General features: G+C 41.4%; 1 long non-coding RNA gene and 1 pseudogene across 1 annotated transcript in view; both read left to right on the top strand.

Moving 5' to 3' along the window:
* On the top strand, positions 254-2926 carry EXOGP1 (EXOG pseudogene 1; annotated as a pseudogene).
* The window catches only part of LOC107985161 (uncharacterized), a 39761-nt gene continuing 21979 nt past the window's right edge, over positions 3436-21217 (top strand). The window contains exons 1-2 of the long non-coding RNA XR_001753365.2: positions 3436-3557; positions 3641-3718. This is a non-coding gene — a long non-coding RNA (uncharacterized LOC107985161). The remainder of the gene's footprint in view (positions 3558-3640; positions 3719-21217) is intronic.

Here is a 21217-nt window from a genome sequence, read left to right as displayed (position 1 = left end):
TGAGGTCAGGAGTTAGAAACCAGCCTGGCCAACATGGTGAAACCCTGTCTCTACTAAAAAATACAAAAATTATCCAGGTATGGTGGCTGGCACCTGTAATCCCAGCTACTCAGGAGGCTGAGGCAGGAGAATTGCTTGAACCTGGGACGTAGAGGTTGCAGTGAGCCGAGATCTTGCCACTGCACTCCAGCCTGGGCGACAGACAGAGACTCTGTCTCAAAAATAAATAAATAAATAAATAAAGCAAATATGTGGTACTTTGGGTCAGATAACTGCCGAGGGTATTACTTCCCACCTCAGAGGCGCCTGGTGTTTTTGGAGTGGCTGCACGGTCAGGGCTATAGTGGGCACCATGGGAGTCGGCTCACAGCCCTGCAGTTCCTCTGGAGTCAGGGTGCTGAGGCAGTGGTGGCAGTGAGGGGGCTGGATGAATCTGCAGAAAAGGCTCTGGGGACAATTTGGATTCCCTTTAACTGGAACAGAGACAAGGTGATGCAGACAGAAAACATTGTATATTTAAGCCTGGTCCCAATATCCCTCCAACCTTCACTGCCTTCAGCGAGGACCATGTTGGAAGCAGGTAGTCCTGAGGACACACGGCTCCAGCTGGAAATAACAAATGTTCAAGTAAAGCTGAAACCTTTTACCTTTCTACTATTGTGCCTTGGGATTTCATAATAATTCTGGATGTTGAAACAGAATAGAAATGTTCTGTTGAGAACTGACAGGGAGGTTTGAAGATATTTGGGTAGTATCTTGGCCTTTGACCTTACCGCAGACTAGAAGTGATGGAAAGAAAAGAGGTACCAGATGATCGGTGAGACAAGATGGCAGTCCCCTCACACCTTTATGAGGTGATCCTGGCCTGTAGAAGCCCAGTTTCTACAGAACTAATGCCACTAGGGGCCTTTGTGATACCCAGTGGAGGCACTGGCTTCTAGTCCTAGTTAATTGGATTCCAAGTGAGCCTCTGGGACCTAGAGAAGTTGTCAGAACTGATGTTTTTTCCTTGTTTGGATAGAATTAGTGATGTCAGAAATATCTCCTCTGTGGACACTTGTAAGCACCTGGATTTCTAGGAGTTCACTCTACCTGAGCACAAGAAAGATTGAGGAAGCCAGATCAGTGGACACACTGGAAAAATTCCTGGAAAATTTGAAGAATGCAGGGATTGAACCAGATGATTACTTCATGAGTCTCTGTGAGAAGAAACTAGAAGAACTCAAAGCTAAGGAGCAGTCAGGAACCCAGACAAGAAAGCCATTCTGGTTTTCATCTCAGAACATGTGTGATATTGGCAGGACGCAGTGGCTAATGTCTGTAATCCCAGCACTTTGGGAGGCCGAGGCAGGCACATCACTTGAGCTCAGGAGCTCGAGACCAGCCTGGCCAACGCGATGAAACCACATCTTTACCAAAACTACAAAAATTAGCCAAGCATGCTGGTGAGTGCCTGTAGTCTCAGCTACTGGGGAGGCTGAGGCAGGAGAATCACTTGAACCCAAGAGGCAGAGGTTGCAGTGAGCTGAGATTGTGCCACTACACTCCAACCTGGGTGACAGGGCAAGGTTCTATCTAAAAAAAAATTAAGTTAAATAAATAAGTAAACAAGAACACATGTGATATCATCTGTAAGGAAGCAGGCACGCCCTCCTTACACTAATATAGTGGCTTTGCTTTTTGCTTTTTTTTTTTTTTTTTTTTTAAAGACATGGGGTCTCAGTCTGTCACCCAGGCCAGAATGGAGTGGTGTGATCATAGCTCACTGCAGCCTCCTACTTCTGGGCTGCTCAAGTGATCCTCCCGCCTCCACTTCCTGAGTAGCTGGTACCACCCACGTGTGCCACCACCCTCAGCTACTAGTGACTTTGCTTTAAATAAATGGTGGAATCCTAAATTTACAATTAAAAATTTCCCTAAAAGATGAAAGATCTACAATTTTTTGGTTGGGTATTTTATAGGACTTGGGAACTAATTGTTGAGGAAGCTATGACACCTGCAGATGGAGGGCTGATCTTGTATGGAGTTAACAGGAGGACCGTGTCCACAGATGACGCTGCATTTGTGTTTCTCTGGATGTGTAGTATTGTGAAGACATTGCTTACTTTTATGCCTCCAAATCATGCATCACCTTTGATGTATCTGTTCATCCTTCTTGAAACTCAGGATTGTACAGTCTGTTCCTCCTGGGACCTGAATTTGTCTTGGAGGTGGCTTTTAGAAATCCTCTATATGTTATCCTGTTGACATGCACTGTGTATTCGTTTCTTCTTTCTCCTCTCCTGAACCTGCTATTCTTCCATTTCTGTCTGTGTAGAAGCACTCAACAACTACAGTTTCTGCTCACTTAATGCATTCTATATATTCGTTCTATACACTGGACTCAGTGCTTGCCACGTATTGTCTCACAATGACCCTCTGAGGTAAATACCGCTATCCCCATTTTATCTGTGAGAAAATTGAGGCTTAGAGAGCTTAATGTCTTGCCCAAGGTTCACCTTTCCAAAGTAGGCATCCACAAAGTATGAGGCAGACAGTTCTAAAGAAGAAAGATAGCTGAGGTTGACTCAAATCTTCTCTCACATGGATGGAAGTTTTTGACTTAGAAATACATACCGATTTCCATGGGTATCTGTGGGCCCCAGGCCTGCTTGGTAAAAGGGGTCTGATTTCTTGTCTGCTGTGTGAGCCAAAGGAAGCTTAACATCCTCTGAACTGAACCTTCCTTCGCTCTTTGGAAGGAGGCGGTCACCACAGGTACTTGGGAGTTAGAGGACAGGACTTTGTAGGGTTGATCCGAGCCCCTGCTTGCCCGAGGCAGCAGTTCTTTCAGTGACCAGACGGTGCCAAATCGATGTTCCTTGCTTTCCAGATGAGCTTTTTGTTTTTAAGATTAAGGAGGCTGAGAAGGGTCTGCCCACAGTCACCAGCTTACGGTTTGCTGGCCTCTGTGCCTGCTTATCTACCTGGGTAGCACTGGGCAGGTGGTGCTTTGAGCCAAAGGTCCAAAGGCCGTTAGCATTTCTGGGGAAAATAGTGGCTGTTTTTCTGAGCCAGATCTCTAGATTTGGGTTTACATGGGGTCCTTTCATGGACTATCCTGAGTATCGGTGGTAAAATGTCTTGGGGCATACAAATTTGTCTGAATCTGACATACCACTGCTATCTTTCCAAGTGGTATTACAAGAAAAAAAATTTTGTGATGTGTTTGTTCTAACAGAAATGCCAAGGCTTTAAGATAAAGATAAGATGATAATGGGAAAAAAGAAAAACAAATATAAAGTCCTTTAGGGAGATGTTTTCATATCTCTCAGGCCAGCCTGACTCAATCTCAACTCCCTTCAGCCAAGATAACTTAATTATACCGTTTATTATTAATAATACAGTTTTATTATTACATGAAGTCCTCATTTTATACTCCTGGTTGCCTAAAATTTGCAGCTATTTTATTTTGCTTTTACATAATTTCATTCTGAGATAAAGAGTTTCTACCAATTTATCACTTATCCAGGAAAAGACTGTATAAAGGAAAAGACTACCATTTGTCCAGAAACAAAGTATGTTCTCTAAAAGAAGTCATCAAATTAAAGCTGAAGTGTGGAAGTAATAACATTGTTATCATGCTTCTCTTTGAAAACAGCTGGTTATCACACTTTAGAAAACCATGGGCCCAATGACTGTCTCAAAAGGAACACAGACCTTTGGCATCATTGTACCGGTGAGTACCTATCCCACCATACGGTGGCTGAGCTAGTGAAATCTATTTATATAACCCTGCTGGTGTTCTTCGTACATGTGTTAAACAATCAAGGTGAAATGGTATTACTATCAAAGATAGTCAACTGAGGAGAGGCAATTATAAGCAGCCAGAATCTGCGAAACAGCTATGACATTCACTCATTTTGCATTCAGGCTTGTTTTTCCGCCATTTCTTTTCCTATATGTGGCTATGCTACCACTAGATGGCAGTGCAATGGCATTCTGGTGGTCTTTAAACGAAGAGCCACGATACTGGCTTCAGGACTTCCCCTCAGCCTGGCTGAAAAGTAGAACTGAGACTTCCATTGCCTTCATCTATCCATCCATCCAACCATCCATCCATCCATCCATCCATCCATCCATCCATCCATCCATCCATCCATCCATCCATCCACTCATTCACCCAACAAATATTCATTGCCTTTAAAAATAACTCTTGATAATTATACAGTTGAGTTTAAAATGATATTGCCAGAATTGTATTAAAGTTGACTGAAAGAGACCAGAGAGAAAATGAACAGATTGAAGTACATTGTTTGTGCACCGTCGGTACAGGGTAGAAGTCCAAAAGTGGGTGCTAGGATGTTTCCAAGCACAAGGGATCAAGCATTAGGTTTGGTCTCAAATCAAGGAGGTAGTAAAGGGCTGAGGGAGCTTTGGGAGCCATTTCTTGGGATGGGATCAGAAATCTAAAGTAATTGAAGGTCAGAGTTTTGGAACCAGAGTAACAGATAGCCACCAGTCAGAAATACGGTGCTGTAAATGAATTTTGGTCGCTGATGTCCTTGTGGATCCAGGCAATTTTGTAGAATTCTCACACATATAGCTGCCAGCAGAGGCAATTTGGTACTCAGCTTGCCAATTCTTAAGCACGTACTATGAGTTTCCTTGTACACAGTCAAGGAGAGAAGCATCTGGTTCCTTTGCTTACATATTTGCTGCTTGTGTACTTCTTTCCTGTTCTGTTGTTTCTAGCCTATATTTCACCTGCATCTGTTAGAAGTTTTAACTTCTTTACGAAGAGAGCTTTATAAGACTACTCCTAAACTAAAAAGGGTCTGGGCATGGTGGCTCACACCTATAATTCCAGCACTTTGGGAGGGCAACATAGCAAGACCCCATCTCTACAAAAAATACTTAAAAATTAGCTGAGCATGGTGGTGCGTGCCTCTAGTCCCAGCTACTTGACAGGCTGAAGTGGGAGGATCACTTGAACCCAAGAAGAGGTTGCAGTGAGCCGTGATCCTGCTACTGCACTCCAGCCTGGGCAACAGAGTAAGACCCTGTCTCTAAAACAAAACAAAACAAAACAAAACAAAACACTACTGAGAGAAGTGGATTATTCTCCCCATCTGACTTCTTCAGTTCAAACTGCCTTCCACCAGAACATTAAAAAGGGCAAAATTTGCTATCCCCTAATGATCAAAAGTATGATTTTATTCTTTCAATATGTAGAGAGAACCACATAAAATTGAGAGGGTAGCTTTGTCGTCTAAGGTAATGGCTTTTAAATCTTTTAGAACCCAAACCTCAATCAGAAATATATATTACTTCACAACTGTGGCGGCCCCTGGCCTGTTTGCTCTCAAATCCTTTCCTATTCTGCTGCAATGTCATGGGTATGCTGATCCCAACAGGCTGTGTTTCTGAGGCTCTCATGTTGTTAAGTGATTACTGGCTGGGTCCTACTGATACGAGGCCCTGCCACAACGCTGGAGAGTGGGAAGAATGGAAAAGCTAGGATGATTCTCCTTGCCTTTCTCTGCCCGAGGTGCATCTCTGACAGTGGCTAAATCTCCTCCCTGGCTCCAGCTCCAGCCAGAAAGGCCCTCCTGTCATTAGATGAGTCCAGTTCTGGGATCTAACCACACTGCCTCCTCTCTTTGTCCCTCTAGTCGAAAAGGATTAGTGGTTTCTGCTGCTGCTAATCTCTGGTTGCCTCACCTTCCCCTATTTGGCTTCTCAGCGTTATCATTTGTGTAACCAGTTTCCTGTATTAAATTCCGTATATTAAAAACAGATCGAATGACGGTTTCTTTTTTGTGACACATTATTATAGTACATATATACATATATATGAAACTGAAACAAATGTTTCATTAACCATATTCCTCTTACTGTGTGCAATGATTTCTTATATTAGTCTATTTTCACTTTATGCATTTATTTTGAGGCAGAATCGCTCTCTGTCGCCCAGGCTGGAGTGCAGTGGTACGATCTCAGCTCACTGCAACCTCCACCTCCCGGGCTCAAGCAATCCTCCCACCTCAGCCTCCCATTTAGCTGGGACCACAGGTGTGTGCCACCATACCTGGCTAAATTTTTTCTACTTTTTGTAGAGACTGGGGTCTCACATATTGCCTAGGCTGATTTCACACTCCTAGGCTGAAACAATCCTCCTATCTTGGCCTTCCAAAGTGCTGGGATTACAGGCATGAGCCCCACAATGGCCAGCCAATTTCACTTTTTTAAAATGCCAGTCACAACCCACTAAATTGAATTCACAACTGACTCACTGATGGATTATATCTTACTAATTTGAAAAACTCTCGCTTTAGAGACTGCATTTATTCATTTACTTTTTTCATAGTCAGGCTTGCTGAGTTATAATCTAGGCACAGTAAAATACTTTTTAGGTGCACAATGTAGGAATCTTGACGAATGTATCCAGAATATTTCCATCATCCTCAAAAGTTCCCTTGTGCTCTTTTGTAGATAACCCCTCCCTCCCTCCCTAGTCCCTAGTAACCACTGATGTGCTTTTGGTCTCTATAGTTTTATCTTTTCCAGAATGTCATATAAATACAATCATATAATATATAGCCTTCTGGCTGGGCACAGTGGCTCATGCCTGTAATCCCAACACTTTGGCAGGCTGAGGTAAGCAGATCACCTAAGGTCAGGAGTTCGAGACAAGCCTGGCCAACATGGCGAAACCCCATCTCTAATAAAAATACAAAAATTAGCCGGGCATGGTGGCTCATGCCTATAGTCCCAGCTACTCAGGAGGCTGAGGCACGAGAATTGCTTGAACCCAGGAGGTGGTGGTTGCAGTGAGCCGAGATCGTGCCACTGCACTCCAGCCTGGGTGACAGAGCAAACCCTGTCTCCAAAATATATATATATACACACAAGTATACATATGTGTGTATATATATATACATATGTGTGTGTGTATATATATGTATATAAATAGCCTTCTGCATCTGGTTTTATTCACTTAGCATAAGGCTTTATATAGTCATCCATTTTATTTTTTTTAAAATTTTTTTATTTTTGAGATGCTCTGTTGCCCAGGCTGGAGTGCAATGGCGCATTCTAGGCTCACTGCAACCTCTGCCTCCTGGTTTCAAGTGATTCTCCTGCCTCAGCCTCCCAAGTAGCTGGGAGTACAGGCACATGCCACCACACCTGGCTAATTTTTGTATTTTTAGTAGAAACAGGGTTTCACCATGTTGGCCAGGCTGGTCTTGAACTCCCAACTTTGTGATCCACCTGCCTCGGCCTTCCAAAGTGCTGGGATTACAGGCGTGAGCCACCGTGCCTGGCCTATAGTCATCTATATTTCTGCATATAAAATTAGTCCATCCCTTTTACTGCTGTGTGATATTCTATGGATGTACTATGATGTATTTACCGATTCAGCTATTGAAAGACATCTTGGTTGCTTCCAGTCATTGTTGGTTATGAATAAAGCTGCTATAAAAATTTATTTATTTATTTATTGAGATGGAGTCTCACTCTGTCACCCAGGCTGGAGTGCAGTGGCTCTATCTCAGCTCACTGCAACCTTCACCTCCCAAGTTCAAGTAATTCTCCTGCCTCAGCCTCCAGAGTAGCTAGGATTACAGGCGCCCACCACCACATCCAGCTACTTTTTGTATTTTTAGTAGAGATGGGATTTCACTATGTTTGCCAGACTGGTCTCAAACTCCTGACCTCAGGTGATCCACCCGCCTCTGCCTCCCAAAGTTCTGGGATTACAGGTGTGAGCCACCGCACCCAGCCATACTGCTATAAAAATTTATATTCAGATATTTGTATGAACACATATCTTGATTTCCCTTGGGTACATACCTAAGAATTGGGATTGGTGGTTCATAGGGTAAATATATTTTTGTTTTGTTTTGAGACAGAGTCTCACTCTGTCGCCCAGGCTGGAGTGCAGTGGCTGCAATCTCAGCTCACTGCAAGCTCCGCCTCCCGGGTTCTCGCCCTTCTCCTGCCTCAGCCTCCCAAGTAGCTGGGACTACAGGCGCCTGCCACCACGCTCGGCTAATTTTTTGTATATTTAGTAGAGACGGGGTTTCACCGTGTTAGCCAGGATGGTCTCAATCTCCTGACTTCGTGATCTGCCCGCCTCGGCCTCCCAAAGTGCTGGGATTACCGGCGTGAGCCACTGCACCCGGCATATACATGTTTAACTTTATAAAAAAGCATGAAATTATTTTCTAAAATGGCTGTACATTTTGTATTCCCACCAGCAATGCATGAGAGTTCCAGTTGCTCTGCATCCTGGCCAGCATTTAGTATTGTCATGTTTTTTGGGGTTTTTTCTTTTTCTTTTTCTTTTTCTTTTTTTTTTGCCATTATAATAGGTATGGAGTGCTATCTCATTATAGCTTTAATTTGATTTTCCTTAATGCCTAATGATGTTGCACAACTTTTTATATGCTTATATCTTGTTCATATATCTTTTTTGGTGAAGGGTCTATTCAATTATTTTTCCCATTTTAATTGGATTGCTTGTTTTTTCTTCCTTTTTTTTTTCTTTTTTTTGAGACAGAGTCTTGTGCTGTTGCCCAGGCTAGAGTGCAGTGGCATGATCATGGCTCACTGCAGCCTCCAACTCCTGGGCTCAATCGATCCTCCCACTTCAGCCTCCTGAGTAGCCGGGGCTACAGGCGCACACCACCATGACTGGCTAATTTTTGTATTTTTTTTGTAGAGATAGGGTTTCACCATGTTGCCCAGGCTTTTCTCGAACTCCTGGGCTCAAGCAATCCAACTGCCTTGGCCTTCTAGAGTGCTGGGATTACAGGCATAAACTACTGTGCCTGGCCAGATTGCTTGTTTTCTTATTATTGATATATGAGAATTCTTTATATATTCTAGATATATGTGATTTATAGATATTGTACCCAGTAGGTAATTGTCTTTTAATTTCCTAATAGTGTTTGTCAAAGAGTAAAAGTTTAAAAAAATTTTATTAAATCCAATTTATTGATTTTTTTTTCTGTTGTGGCTCATATTTTTTTGTGTGTCCTATCTAAAAAATCTTTGTGTAACTCAAGGTCGCAATAATTTTCTTCTATGTTTTCTTCTTCCAGAAACTTTATATTTTTAGATCTTGCTATATGGTCTATGGTTTTATTTAAATGGTCTATGATCTATTTTATTTTATTTTTATTTTTTGTTTTTTTGAAATGAAATCTCACTCTGTCACCCAGGCTGGAGTACAGCAGTGCAATCTCGGCTCACTGTAACCTCTGCCTCCTGGATTCGAGCTATTCTCCTGCCTCAGCCTCCCGAGTAGCTGGGATTACAGGTGTGTGGCCCCACAGCTGGCTAATTTTTGTATTTTTAGTAGAGGTGGGTTTTCACCATGTTAGCCAGGCTGGTCTTGAACTCCTGATCTCAAGTGATACACTCGCTTTGGCCTCCCAAAGTGCTGGGATTATAGGTGTAAGCCACAGCGCCCAGCCCTATGACAGATTTTAATTTGATATTTGTATATCTTGCAGGATGTGGATTAAGGTTGATTTTTTATGCTTTTGAGTGTCCAATTGTTTTGGCTTCATTTGTTAAAAAGGGTATTCTTTGTCTACTGAATACTTTTGCTCCTTTGTTAAAAGTCAGTTGACCATCTATTTGTGAGTCTATTTCTGGATTCTCCATTTTGTTTCATTTATCTACGTCCCTATTTTTTCACCAATTCTACATCCTCTTGGTTACCGTAGCTTTAGATTAAGTGTTGAAATCAGGTTGTGTGAATCCTCCAATTTTTAAAATATTGTTTTGATGATTATAAATCACAGTCAATTTTAGAATCAGCTTTTCATATATACAAAGAAGTCTGCTAGAATTTTGATTGAGATTGCACTGAATCTGTAGACCAATTTTGGGAGAATCGGCAAAAATATTCAGTCTTCTAATCCATGAACACTTTAAATCTTAGAGACTGTATTTTAGATTCAGAATGGATATTGTACTTCTGATACTTGTTTTGTTACCCAGTTAGTCTGAAACCATGCAGAACCTTTGAAGAGATCTTAACTGCTGGGGCCTGATGATTAAAGGTGCAGAGGCGGGAGTTCAGCACAGAATGGCCTCAACTATCTTTATGTTCAAAGGCAAGAGAATAATAGCCTGGGCTCTGGAGTCTTCCCCCCTGGATCAAATTCTGCATTCAACACTTGCTACCTCATGATCTTGAGCAAATTACTTAACCTCCCTTAAGGTGTTTCTTCATCTGTAAAATGACATGATAAGAATGCTACACGTTTCAGTGAGTTTTTGTAGGGATAAAACAAAACAAGACAAAATGTGTAAAATAGTGCAATAACTTGTCACAGTCAGTACTCACTAAATCAGCCTATGGTCTATGAAAGCTAGTATGAATTTTGCCAATTGAAAGGTCAGGAAGAACAGCTTTTTTCAAGACCAACTCGCTCCTTTAAGGCCCAATTGCTCGCTTCTAAATGCCTGGGAGGAGTGCCATTACCAACAAAGGAGGAAAAGAGGCCAGATTCAGTCCATGGGATCAGGAAGAAACGTCTGTGAAACCCAAATCTGTGGACTGCTCATTTACTCTGGCACCTGACTTTATTAAGTTAGGTGGTCATTAGACTCTAGATCAGCAGATACGGGGTGAGGAGTGGGATGGAGTTCACATCTCCTTCTTTGTTTATTTTTATTTTTTGAGACAGGGTTTCATTCTGTCACCCAGGCTGCAGTGCAGTGGCACTATCATAGCTCACTGCAGCCTTGAACTCCTGGGCTCAAGTGATCCTCCCACCTCAGCCTCCGGAGTAACTGAGACTACAAGCACGCCCCACCACACCCAGCTAACTGCTTTATAATCTCCCCAGTACAAATCATGTTTTGAAAAGATGCAGGCAGCATGGTACCACAGGGAATAACCCAAATTTAAAGTTCAGAACACGTTGGTAATAGCCTGAATTTGACACTTTTTACCGATCTGACCTTGAGCGAGTAACCTAGTGTTGCTGTGTCCTAGTTTCCTCATCTGTAAATGGGTATATAACATGATTATTTCCCATGAGGCTTCCTGAATCCACTGTCTTGCAGTGTTTTCAAAATTAACATTTTATGGCGGGGCATGGTGGCTTACGCCTGTAATCCCAGCACTTCGGGAGGCTGAGGCGGGTGGATCACTTGATGTCAGGAGCTCGAGACCAGCCTGACCAACATGGTGAAAACCCGTCTCTATTAAAACATACAAAAATTAGCTAAGTGTGGTGGCGGGCACCTGTAATCCCAGCTACTTGGGAAGCTGAGGCAGGAGAATCACTTGAACCTGGGAGTCAGAGGTTGCAGTGGGCTGAGATCGCACCATTGCGCTCCAGAGTGAGACTCCGTCTCAAAAAAAAAAAAGTTTACAGTTTTAATTTTTTTTTTTTTTTTCAGATGGAGTCTTGCTCTGTTGCCCATGCTGGAGTGCAGTGGTGTGATCTTGGCTCACTGCAACCTCCACCTCCCTGGTTCAAGTGATTCTCCTGCCTCAGCCTCCTGAGTAGGGACTACAGGCGCGTGCCACCACACCCAGCTAATTTTTTGTATTTTTAGTAGAGACGGGGTTTCACCGTGTTAGCCAGGATGGTCTCGATCTCCTGACCTTGTGATCCACCCACCTCAGCCTCCCAAAGTTCTGGTATTGCAGGCATAAGCCACCACGCCTGGCCAAAAGCTAACATTTTATTATAGCTTATATAGAAAACACAGTTGATCATTCAAATATGGCTATTCAGATTTGAATTATATGCACCTTCTGTGATATCATGAGCCTGGAGATTGTTTCTGTGAAATTATTTGTTATTGCTGTAATAAAGACTGATTGAGTTTATAAAACACTATTCCACCTGACCCCTGAATGTCAGTGCTTAATATGCATCAGACATTCACATTCTAACAGCCTTTGTGTTAGTATAATGGGCCAGCGAATTCTATTTGCTGCCGGGAATTCAATCATATCCTACAAACAAAGACAGATTGTTTTGATTTGGTATGTGTTGGGGAAATATGTTCAATTGGTAAATTATGTGTGAGTTTTAATCAACTTGAACATATTATTTAACAAGTCATATTTCTCTGTAGAATGAAATGTTTATGAATTAGATAAACCAAATTATTGATCTATATCTACATATTTAAATGACACTTGCAATACACATTTTATTTGTGCACGTGTGTGTGTGGTGGGGGGCGTTTTGTTTTGTTTGTTTGTTTTGGAGACAGTCTCACGCTGTCACCTAGGCTGGAGTGCAGTGGTGCAATCTCAGCTCACTGCAGCCTCAACCTCCCGGGCTCAAGTGATCCTTCCACCACAGTCCCACAAGTAGCTGGGACTACAGGCATGTGCCACCATGCCTGGCTAATTTTTTTGTATTTTTTATAGAGATGAGGTTTCACCATGTTGGCCAGGCTGGTCTCAAACTCCTGAGCTCAGGCAATCTGCCCACCTCGGCCTCCCAAAGTGCTGGGATTATAGGCGTGAGCCACGGTGCCTGCCTGCAGTATACATTTTAAAAACACATTTTAGGACTTTCAGAAATCCATGTCAGTGGCTGAGCATGGTGGCTCATACCTGTAATCCTAGCAGTTTGGGAGGCCAAAGTGGGAGAATGGCTTAAGCCCAGGAGTTGGAGACCAGCCTGGGCAAAATGTGAGACCCCATCTCTAAAGAAAAAGAAAGCCATGTCAACATAGGATACCTGTAGTTTAACTGTTTTCTGCGGAGCCTCATCCAATAATATAATGTAATATAATATATATCCATCATTGTATTATAGAATATCTATTATATACTTGAAATTGTGTTACCTGAGAAATGCAAAGATGAATAAGGTAAGGAGCTCACAATTTATTGAAGAAATAAAGATACAAACAAATAATTTATAGTACTATAAAAGGAGTAGTATAATCAAAATATTAATTCATTAAATTTTTTTGGAATAAATGTAGTACTGGCATGTGCCAGACCCTACACTAGCTATTAAGAATAAGATATAAGACTTAAGGAGTTTATAATCTAATAGAGGAGACAGACAAATACAGAAAAAATTACCAGAGGGTACTGAACCTAACCATGTTGTATGGTACAGGAATGAGCTCCCATAGATGAAATTTGAACCTGAGTTTTGAAAAACTAACAGGAGTAAGAGAAAAAGAGGAATAAGGGTATTCTAGGCAGAAAAACAACTTTTGCAAAGGTCCAAAATGAGGAAAACTGCAAATCATTTAGTATGTCTGGATCCTGGGGTCCCTGGTGGAAAATGGCAAGAGTTACAGTTGGGATGAGTAGATGAAGGTAATGAAGGGCTGTGTGGGCAGTTCTAAGGGGCTGGACTTTATCCAAACTGTTGAAGGGTTTTCAGTAGAGACTATACACACACACACACACACACACACACACATATATATATATTCATAAAGACATGTGCATATGTGTGTCTATATATATACTTTATTGAGATATAATTCTTGTATCGTGTGTGTGTGTGTGTGTGTGTGTGTGTCCAGACAGAGTCTCGCACTGTTGCCCAGGCTGGAGTGCAGTGGCGCGATCTCAGCTCACTGCAACTGCTGCCTCCCGGGTTCAAGTGATTCTCCTGCCTCAGCCTCCTGAGTAGCTGGGATTACAGATGTGTGCTACCTCATCTGGCTACCTTTTGTATTTTTAGTAGAGATGGGGTTTCTTAATGTTGGCCAGGCTGGTCTCAAATTCCTGGCCTCTATCTTGGCCTCCCGAAATGTGGGGATTATAGGCGTGAGCCACGGCACCTGGCCTATCATATAGTTTTAAAAATATATTCACTGAGTTGTCCTACTGTCACCACAATAACTTTTAGAACATTTCATCACCCCAAAAAGAAACTGTATCCATTAGCAGTCACAGCCCAACCCACCCCTAGCCACAGGCAACCACCAATCTTTCCACCTCTTTTAGTGACAGAACTAATTCTGTCTGCCTCAAAGGGCTTTTGCCTAGAATTATGCCCTATTTCCATTTGGTTAACATAAAATAGTCATTTTCTTGTTTTTATTTTTGCTCAAGAATTTGGGGTCAGAGGAATATTATATTTCAAGTGGTTTTTTAAATTAGTTTCTCTATGTTTTGATATCACAATGGAACGAGGTGCATCCTTTGGTAGACTTTCTGGTTTCTGGAAAGAATTTTATTTTATTTTTCCTTTTCTGTGTCATAAATCCCACATTTTAAATAGGTTCCCTTACATTTTTTTCCTTTTAAAGTGAAAATATCCTATAGAAAGGGGAAGGGATAGTGGGTAAACACAAGTTGTAAATGCCACCATCGTTGCCTCCCCCTCCCCTTTTTGCTCTGCATTTATTATTTTTGATGCAATAGGAAATACAAATCAGTCTTTGTCTCTTGCTCAATTTATCCTCCTCTTCAGACCCTACTGCCTAATGACCTCTAACAAGCCTTTACATAGAGCTGTGTAAAAAAATGTATTCATGGGCAAATATAAAGCAAATAGAGATATGCTTTGTATTTCTAGCATTTGTGATGGTAGAATATAAGATACAACAAAATTTGGCTCTCAAAGAAGACCCAAAGCTAGAAGTTCAGGAAGCAAGATATTAAATATATGTCATAAAACACTCAGCAAATATTTATTGAACATTTTTTATGTGCAGCGAATCCAGCTGATCACTGGGGAAGTTACAAAAGTGTGTAAAATGCAGGTCTTACCTTTGACAAACTTAACAGTTGAACGGAAGAGACACAGTCACATATCCAAACCACAGCACAAATTATAAGAGATTTGAAAATTACTTCAGTGATATAGGAGTGTCTACAGAGTATTTGTTTGGTCATTGTTGACAGCTCTATTGAGATATAATTTATATGTGATAAATACAACTACTGGACATGCACATTTGAATTGTTTTTGGTAAATTTATACAATTGTACAACCATCACTATGATCCAGACCTTGGCACCCATGACTCAGGTATTCATTACCTTTGGGTAGATGTTGGCAGAAGTGCACATGCCCGACCCTGAAAGTGAGGACCTACTTAAAATGTGCACCTAGGCACTTTAGTCCTGGTCCTGGCTAGCAGTCATAGTCAGTAGTGGTGGCAATTTTTGTGACAACCGGATGCCAGTAGGAGAAAAAAAAAAAACTGGTGATTTCCAGCCAGCCGCAGTGGCTCATGCCTATATTCCAACACTTTCGGAGGCCGAGGCAGGCAGATTGCTTGTGTCCAGGAGCTCAAGACCAACCTGGGCAACACAGTGAGATCTCCATCTCTACAAAAAATAAAAAAAATTCACCAGGCATGGTGGTGTGCACCTGTACTCCCAGCTACAAGGGAGGCTGAAGTGAGAGGATTGCTTGAGCCTGGGAGGTTGAGGTTGCAGTGAGCAGTGATTGTGCCACTGCACTCCAGCCTGGGCAGCAGAATGAGATCCTGTCTCAAAAAAAAAAAAAAAAAAAAAAAAGATGAGTTCCACAGGGAACCATGAAGTGTAATCTTTGAAAAACTCATAATACAACAGTCACTGTGTAAGCAGCATGTAGGATGAATGTTAGAGTGGCCTCAGAAACAATATGCTTTGTTGACTCAACTCTTCTGTGGCACATGGTGGGCTATAAATGTAACAATGAATCAGTCAATCATTTAAAACATTTTATTGCATATGAAGACTTGGGATACACATGGATATGTGAATTCCCTTTCCACACATCAAATTGTAGTTGATGTATTATATTTATTCTGGAAAGCTAGAGAAGTTGCAGCCATGTAGTTGTGTTATTTTCTACTAAATATTTGCCTTATAATGAAGGGAAACAAGCATATTTCTTAAGGAACAGGTGTGTGTGCTAGTGGTCAAGAGAGTAGCAAACAGCAGTGGCCTGCTGTCATGGAAACAGTGTGGTATCCTAGCAACAAGCATATTCATTTGCCTGGCCTGCCCTGTGGAGTTCTGTCAACACAGGTAAAAGGTTTATCCTTTACACAGAACTTGAGCGACAGCCTTTCTACTCCAGAGTAAAGCTACACCCATATATGTAAATCTGGAAGTGGAGGGGAAGGTGAATTTTTCTGCCAAGGAGCCAGTGGCTTGGGGGCTACAGGACAGCAAAGTGGGAGTTAAATGTACTCATCTAATTCTTCGTCTAGATAGGCTAGAAATAGGTCTCTTTCTATATTTGTTGGCTCTCTTAATGGAAGGATCGAAAATTCAGTGGCAGTGGTTAATACCATGACCTATGGCTCTGCTCCTCTCTGCCCTTCTTTGGGTTAAAAAGTGCAGTCTTTTCCCAAAACTTCATTTGTCCTCAGCTGTTCCTGTGTTTTAAGCCACAGAGACTATGGGGAAGAGGGCAGGACATACCTGGGTAGTGATTTGAAGGTTGTAGCTTCCTTTTTTCCATATATTTTAACTGTAGTCCCTAAATTCTAAGAGAAGATTGAGAACATTTTTGATCTGGAAAATGTCCAAAATATCTCATGAGGAAATCTCAAATTATTGGAACCTAGTTTGGAATAGCAAGCATCCTGCACTATGGCATAACACAAAGGGGAAATTTTCTAGTTCAGGACAGGAATTTGATAGGATTTATACCCTGACTTCTTTTTTAAAAAACACTTTATGTCTCCCTTTTTCCATTTTTTTTCCACATTTATTTACTGTGTGCTAGGAATTATTCAAAGCATAGTGAATCATGATGGTTTCTCTATAATTCTAGAGATGTACAAAAATAGTAGGCATCCACAAGCAAATGTTGAATTTCAATTCAGGGCTAACAAATTCAATATTAGATCAGATATGTCCTCAGGGAGCTAGATGAATTGGGAATTTTACTGTTGTCAGTTGGGGGATGTGTTAGGCCATTCTTCCACTGCTATAAAGAAATACTTAAGACTGAATAAATTATAAAGAAAATAGGTTTAATTGGCTTAAAGTTCTGCAGGCTGTACAAGCATGGCACCAGCATCTGCTTGACTTCTGGGGACACCTCAGGGAGCTTTTACTCATGGGACAAGGCAAAGCAGGAGAAGGCACCTTACATGGCGAAAGCAGGAGCAAGAGAGAGAGAGTTTGGGGAAGGCGCCACACACTTTTAAACAACCAGATCTCATGAGAGCTCACTCACTATCATGAGGACGGCACCAAGATGATAGAGCTAATCCGTTCATGAGAAATCCACCACCATGATCGAATCACCTCCCATCCCACCAGGCCCCACCTCCAACATTGGGGATTACAATTCAACGTAAGTTTCAGAGGGGATACATATCCAAAGTATATCAGGGGACTAAGACTTTTCAATGGATTCTCAGTAAACTTTATTCAAAAAAAGATTTCTCCTAAAAGATAATCCATCCATCTTGGGGTTTTTTTTGGTTTTTGTTTGTTTGTTTGTTTTGAGACAGGGTCTCACTCAGTCACCCCAGGCTGGAGTACAGTGGTATGATCTCAGCTCACTGCAACCTCTGCCCCCTGGGTTCAAGTGATTCACACCTCAGACACCCAAGTAGCTGGCATTATAGGGGTGTGCCACACTAAAAAAGCCCAGCTAATTTTTGTGTGTTGGTTTGTTTGTTTGTTTTGAGACGGAGTCTCACTCTGTCGCCCAGGATAGAGGGCAGTGGCGTGGTCTTGGCTCACTGCAATCTCTGCCTCCTGGGTTCAAGCAATTCTCCTGCCTCAGCCTCCCGAGTAGCTGGGACTATGGGCATGGGCCACCACATCTGGCTAATTTTCTGTATTTTTAGTAGAGGCGGGGTTTCACCATGTTGGGCAGGCTGGTCTCAAATGCCTGACCTCAGATGATTCACCCGCCTTGACCTGCCAAAGTGCTGGGATTACGGGAGTAAACCACTGCGCCCAGCCATTTTTGTGTTTTTTTTTTTTTTTTTTTTTTTTTGTAGAGAAAGGGTTTTGTTAGGTTGTCCAAGCTGGTCTCAAACTCCTGGCCTCAAGCGATCCACCTGCCTCGGCCTCCCAAAGTGTTGGGTTACAGGTGTGAGCCACCCCACCCGGCTGAGAATCCATCTTCTAGATAAGAAATAGAGTATATTGAGAATGAATATTTTTCTCCTGCTTTGTATGTGTGTTTACACACACACACACACATACACACACACATAATTTTAATGATGGAATTAAAAGAACTTAAATACAGGACTTAAGTTAAACTTTTATTCTCTTAGAATGGTTCAACTCTTTTATCAGTTGATGTCATAATTTAGTAGTCACATAAACACATACATAAAATGTTTTAGTTTCCTAAGTAAACCATGAAACACCAAAAATAAAATCACTGGTGGGGCGCGGTGGCTCACACCTGTAATCCCAGCACTTTGGGAGGCTGAGGCGGGCGGATAGCTTGAGTTCAGGAGTTCAAGACCAGCCTGGGCAACACGGTGAGACCCCATCTCTACTAAAAATACAAAAAAAAAAAAAAATAGCTGGGCATGCTAGTACACGCCTGTGGTCCTAGCTAATCAAGGGGCTGAGGTGGGAGGATTGATTGAGCCTGGGGGCAGAGGTTGCAGAGGGCCAAGATTGTGTCACTGCACTCCAGCCCGAGTAACAGACTGAGAACTTGTCTCAAAACATTAAAACAACAACAAAAACAAAATCACCTTAATAATAAATTAGTTTTTCTTAGTTTCTAAAGGAAATTCAGGCTTTCATTTTGACTCAAAATGATGATACATAAAATTCTTATAAATTATTATTTGGAAGCCAACAAGGAGGGTAATGACATAAATTATAAAAGTTCAAGTGGATGCCTGAAAAATATTTTTGTAACTCAGGAGATAATTGTTTACATATTGTGCAACTATATTGTTATTGTTACTGCAACTCAGGCTTTTAGAAGGAAGTTTTACATGGAAAAAATTATTTCCTACCTCCGAGTTGGTGACCAACCAATGAATTTAGAGATTAATTTCAGTATAATCTTTCAGCTGATTACTTTTAATTAAGTAGTAAAAGGAAACTACAAACAGATGAGATATGCTTTTTTTTTTTTTTGGTGTATGATTGGCAAGGGACAAAAAAACAAATTATGCTGAGTAATTGCATGGTGCATGTTTCAGCAAAGCATAAGGAGACACCAGGAAATAAATTACAGGTAAAGCTAATCAATACAAGGGCAGGGAGTTTTGAAGAAGACAGCAAAAGAAAGATTTTGTTAAAAGCGAATATGAGGAAAGTTATAAATGTGTATATTGTTAATAGCTCAAATGCCCAAATACATTTTAAGTAATGCCCTTAATTAAATGTAAATAGCAAACTTAGTAGTTACGTCAACTTCTTTCTTAGTAACATGTTTAAAGCAGATTACAAATCTCTTAGTAACAATGTAGCCGCAGTCCTTCTTGAAAAAAAAAAATTGCTTCTCTTCAGTTGGTTCTGAAAGACAATATATTTCTAGAAATGAAATTTGCTACCAATGAGGTCTTATTTTGTAGGTGAATTATGTGACTTTTAACTTGCAGTATGCTTGTTGAAAGTACATTTAATTTTCCAAAGGAAAGTTCTCCACAAGGTTAAACAAAAGGTTTAACAAAAGTTTGAAAGTCCTGCTAAAGATTTCCTAAGAGCTCTCATCTTGCTCGCTTCCATTTTACTTCTGCTTCTCTGTGGTCACTATTACTGTGCAGGAAGCAATTTTGCAAGCATTTATATGGCTGTGAGCCATGCATGAGTCAATTAGATTGCCTATTTTTTAAATCTCTCTAACAGTTTATAGAACAGACTAACCCCTTCACTCGCACTGCATCTGACTTGGATTCTGCCCTTTTGAGGAAGAATACATTAGACCAAAAAAAAAAAAAAAAAAAGGCATCTCACTGAGATGAGGACAGAAAGTATCAAACTCTTCTTCCTCTTCTCCCTTTAAAAATGCTCCACAAGGCCAGATGTGGTGGCTCATGCCTGCAATCCCAGCACTTTGGGAGGTCGAGGATCACTTGAGTCCAGGAGGTCGAGACTAGCCTGGGCAGTATAGTGAGACCCTGTCTCTAAACAGCAACAACAACAAAAACAAAAAAACAAAAGCTATACAAACTCCTCCTGAGAGTTATTTGAAATGCACATACAATGCTCAGATAACAGCAATTCTTTAGTAACAGGGTCTAACAGATCATTGTCAGCCCCCTATTCTTCCAGATTTGTTTATTTTAGGATAACTTAGCTGCATTGCAAATAACTTTCCATAAGAGATCCCCCTTCCATGAATGCAGGTCTGTATAGATAGAAGAGAAAGTGCTGTAATATAACAGCCTGTTCAGTATCCGTCTAGGCCAGTATTTAAGCTAAATATAATGGACTAATAAAAATGGGTAATACAAAAACAGGAGGTAGAATAATTTTTTTTTCTTTTTTTTGAGATGGAGTCTCACTCTTTGCCCAGGCTGGAGTGCAGTGGTGCGATCTCAGCTCACTGCAAGCTCCGCCTCGCCGGTTCACGCCATTCTTCTGCCTCAGCCTCCCGAGTAGCTGGGACTACAGGCGCCTGCCACCACGCCCGGCTAATTTTTTGTATTTTTAGTGCAGACAGGTTTCACCGTGTTAGCCAGAATGGTCTTGATTTCCTGACCTCGTGATCCGCCCGCCTCGGCCTTCCAAAGTGCTGGGATTACAGGCGTGAGCCACTGCGCCTGGCTGAATAAAAATATTTTTAATATCCTTTGGGGGCAGCAGTTTTGCCTTCCTTCCTTTTTTAGTTCCTTCCTTCTGCCTTTCATTTCTATTTGTTGATGTGGCTAATATTAGCATTAGTTTGCATTCCCTGAGCACAGAGCAGATGCCTAGGTCACTTGTGATGAGAAGTGAACTAATAATGTGCTGAAAAAATTTCATTTGGAATGTCTGCCTCATATGTTTTCATCGTAAGAACTTACTTGCCTGCCTTGATAACTGGATGCTATTTTGTTCTACATATGCCATCTCTTTTGGGCCTTCAGCAATTGATGTTGACTATTTAGCTACATAGGAGCAGGGACTGGACCTCATTTTACTCATCATTGCAGCCTAAGAACTTAGCAGAACATGACATAGAGTAGGCACTCAATAAATATTAAGGAATGAAGTGACTTTGGGTTAGTTTTTCTGATCATTTACACATGCAAATGAATAAAGACAACTGCATTGAACTAGCCATGCTAAAATTAGTTGCCCTTCCTCAAACACACCATGTTCTCTGTATCTCCCTGTATTTCCACC

This window comes from Homo sapiens, chromosome 18 (genome assembly GCF_000001405.40).
Source record: "Homo sapiens chromosome 18, GRCh38.p14 Primary Assembly".
NCBI lineage: Eukaryota > Metazoa > Chordata > Mammalia > Primates > Hominidae > Homo > Homo sapiens.
This window is presented reverse-complemented; position numbering and strand designations above follow the sequence as displayed.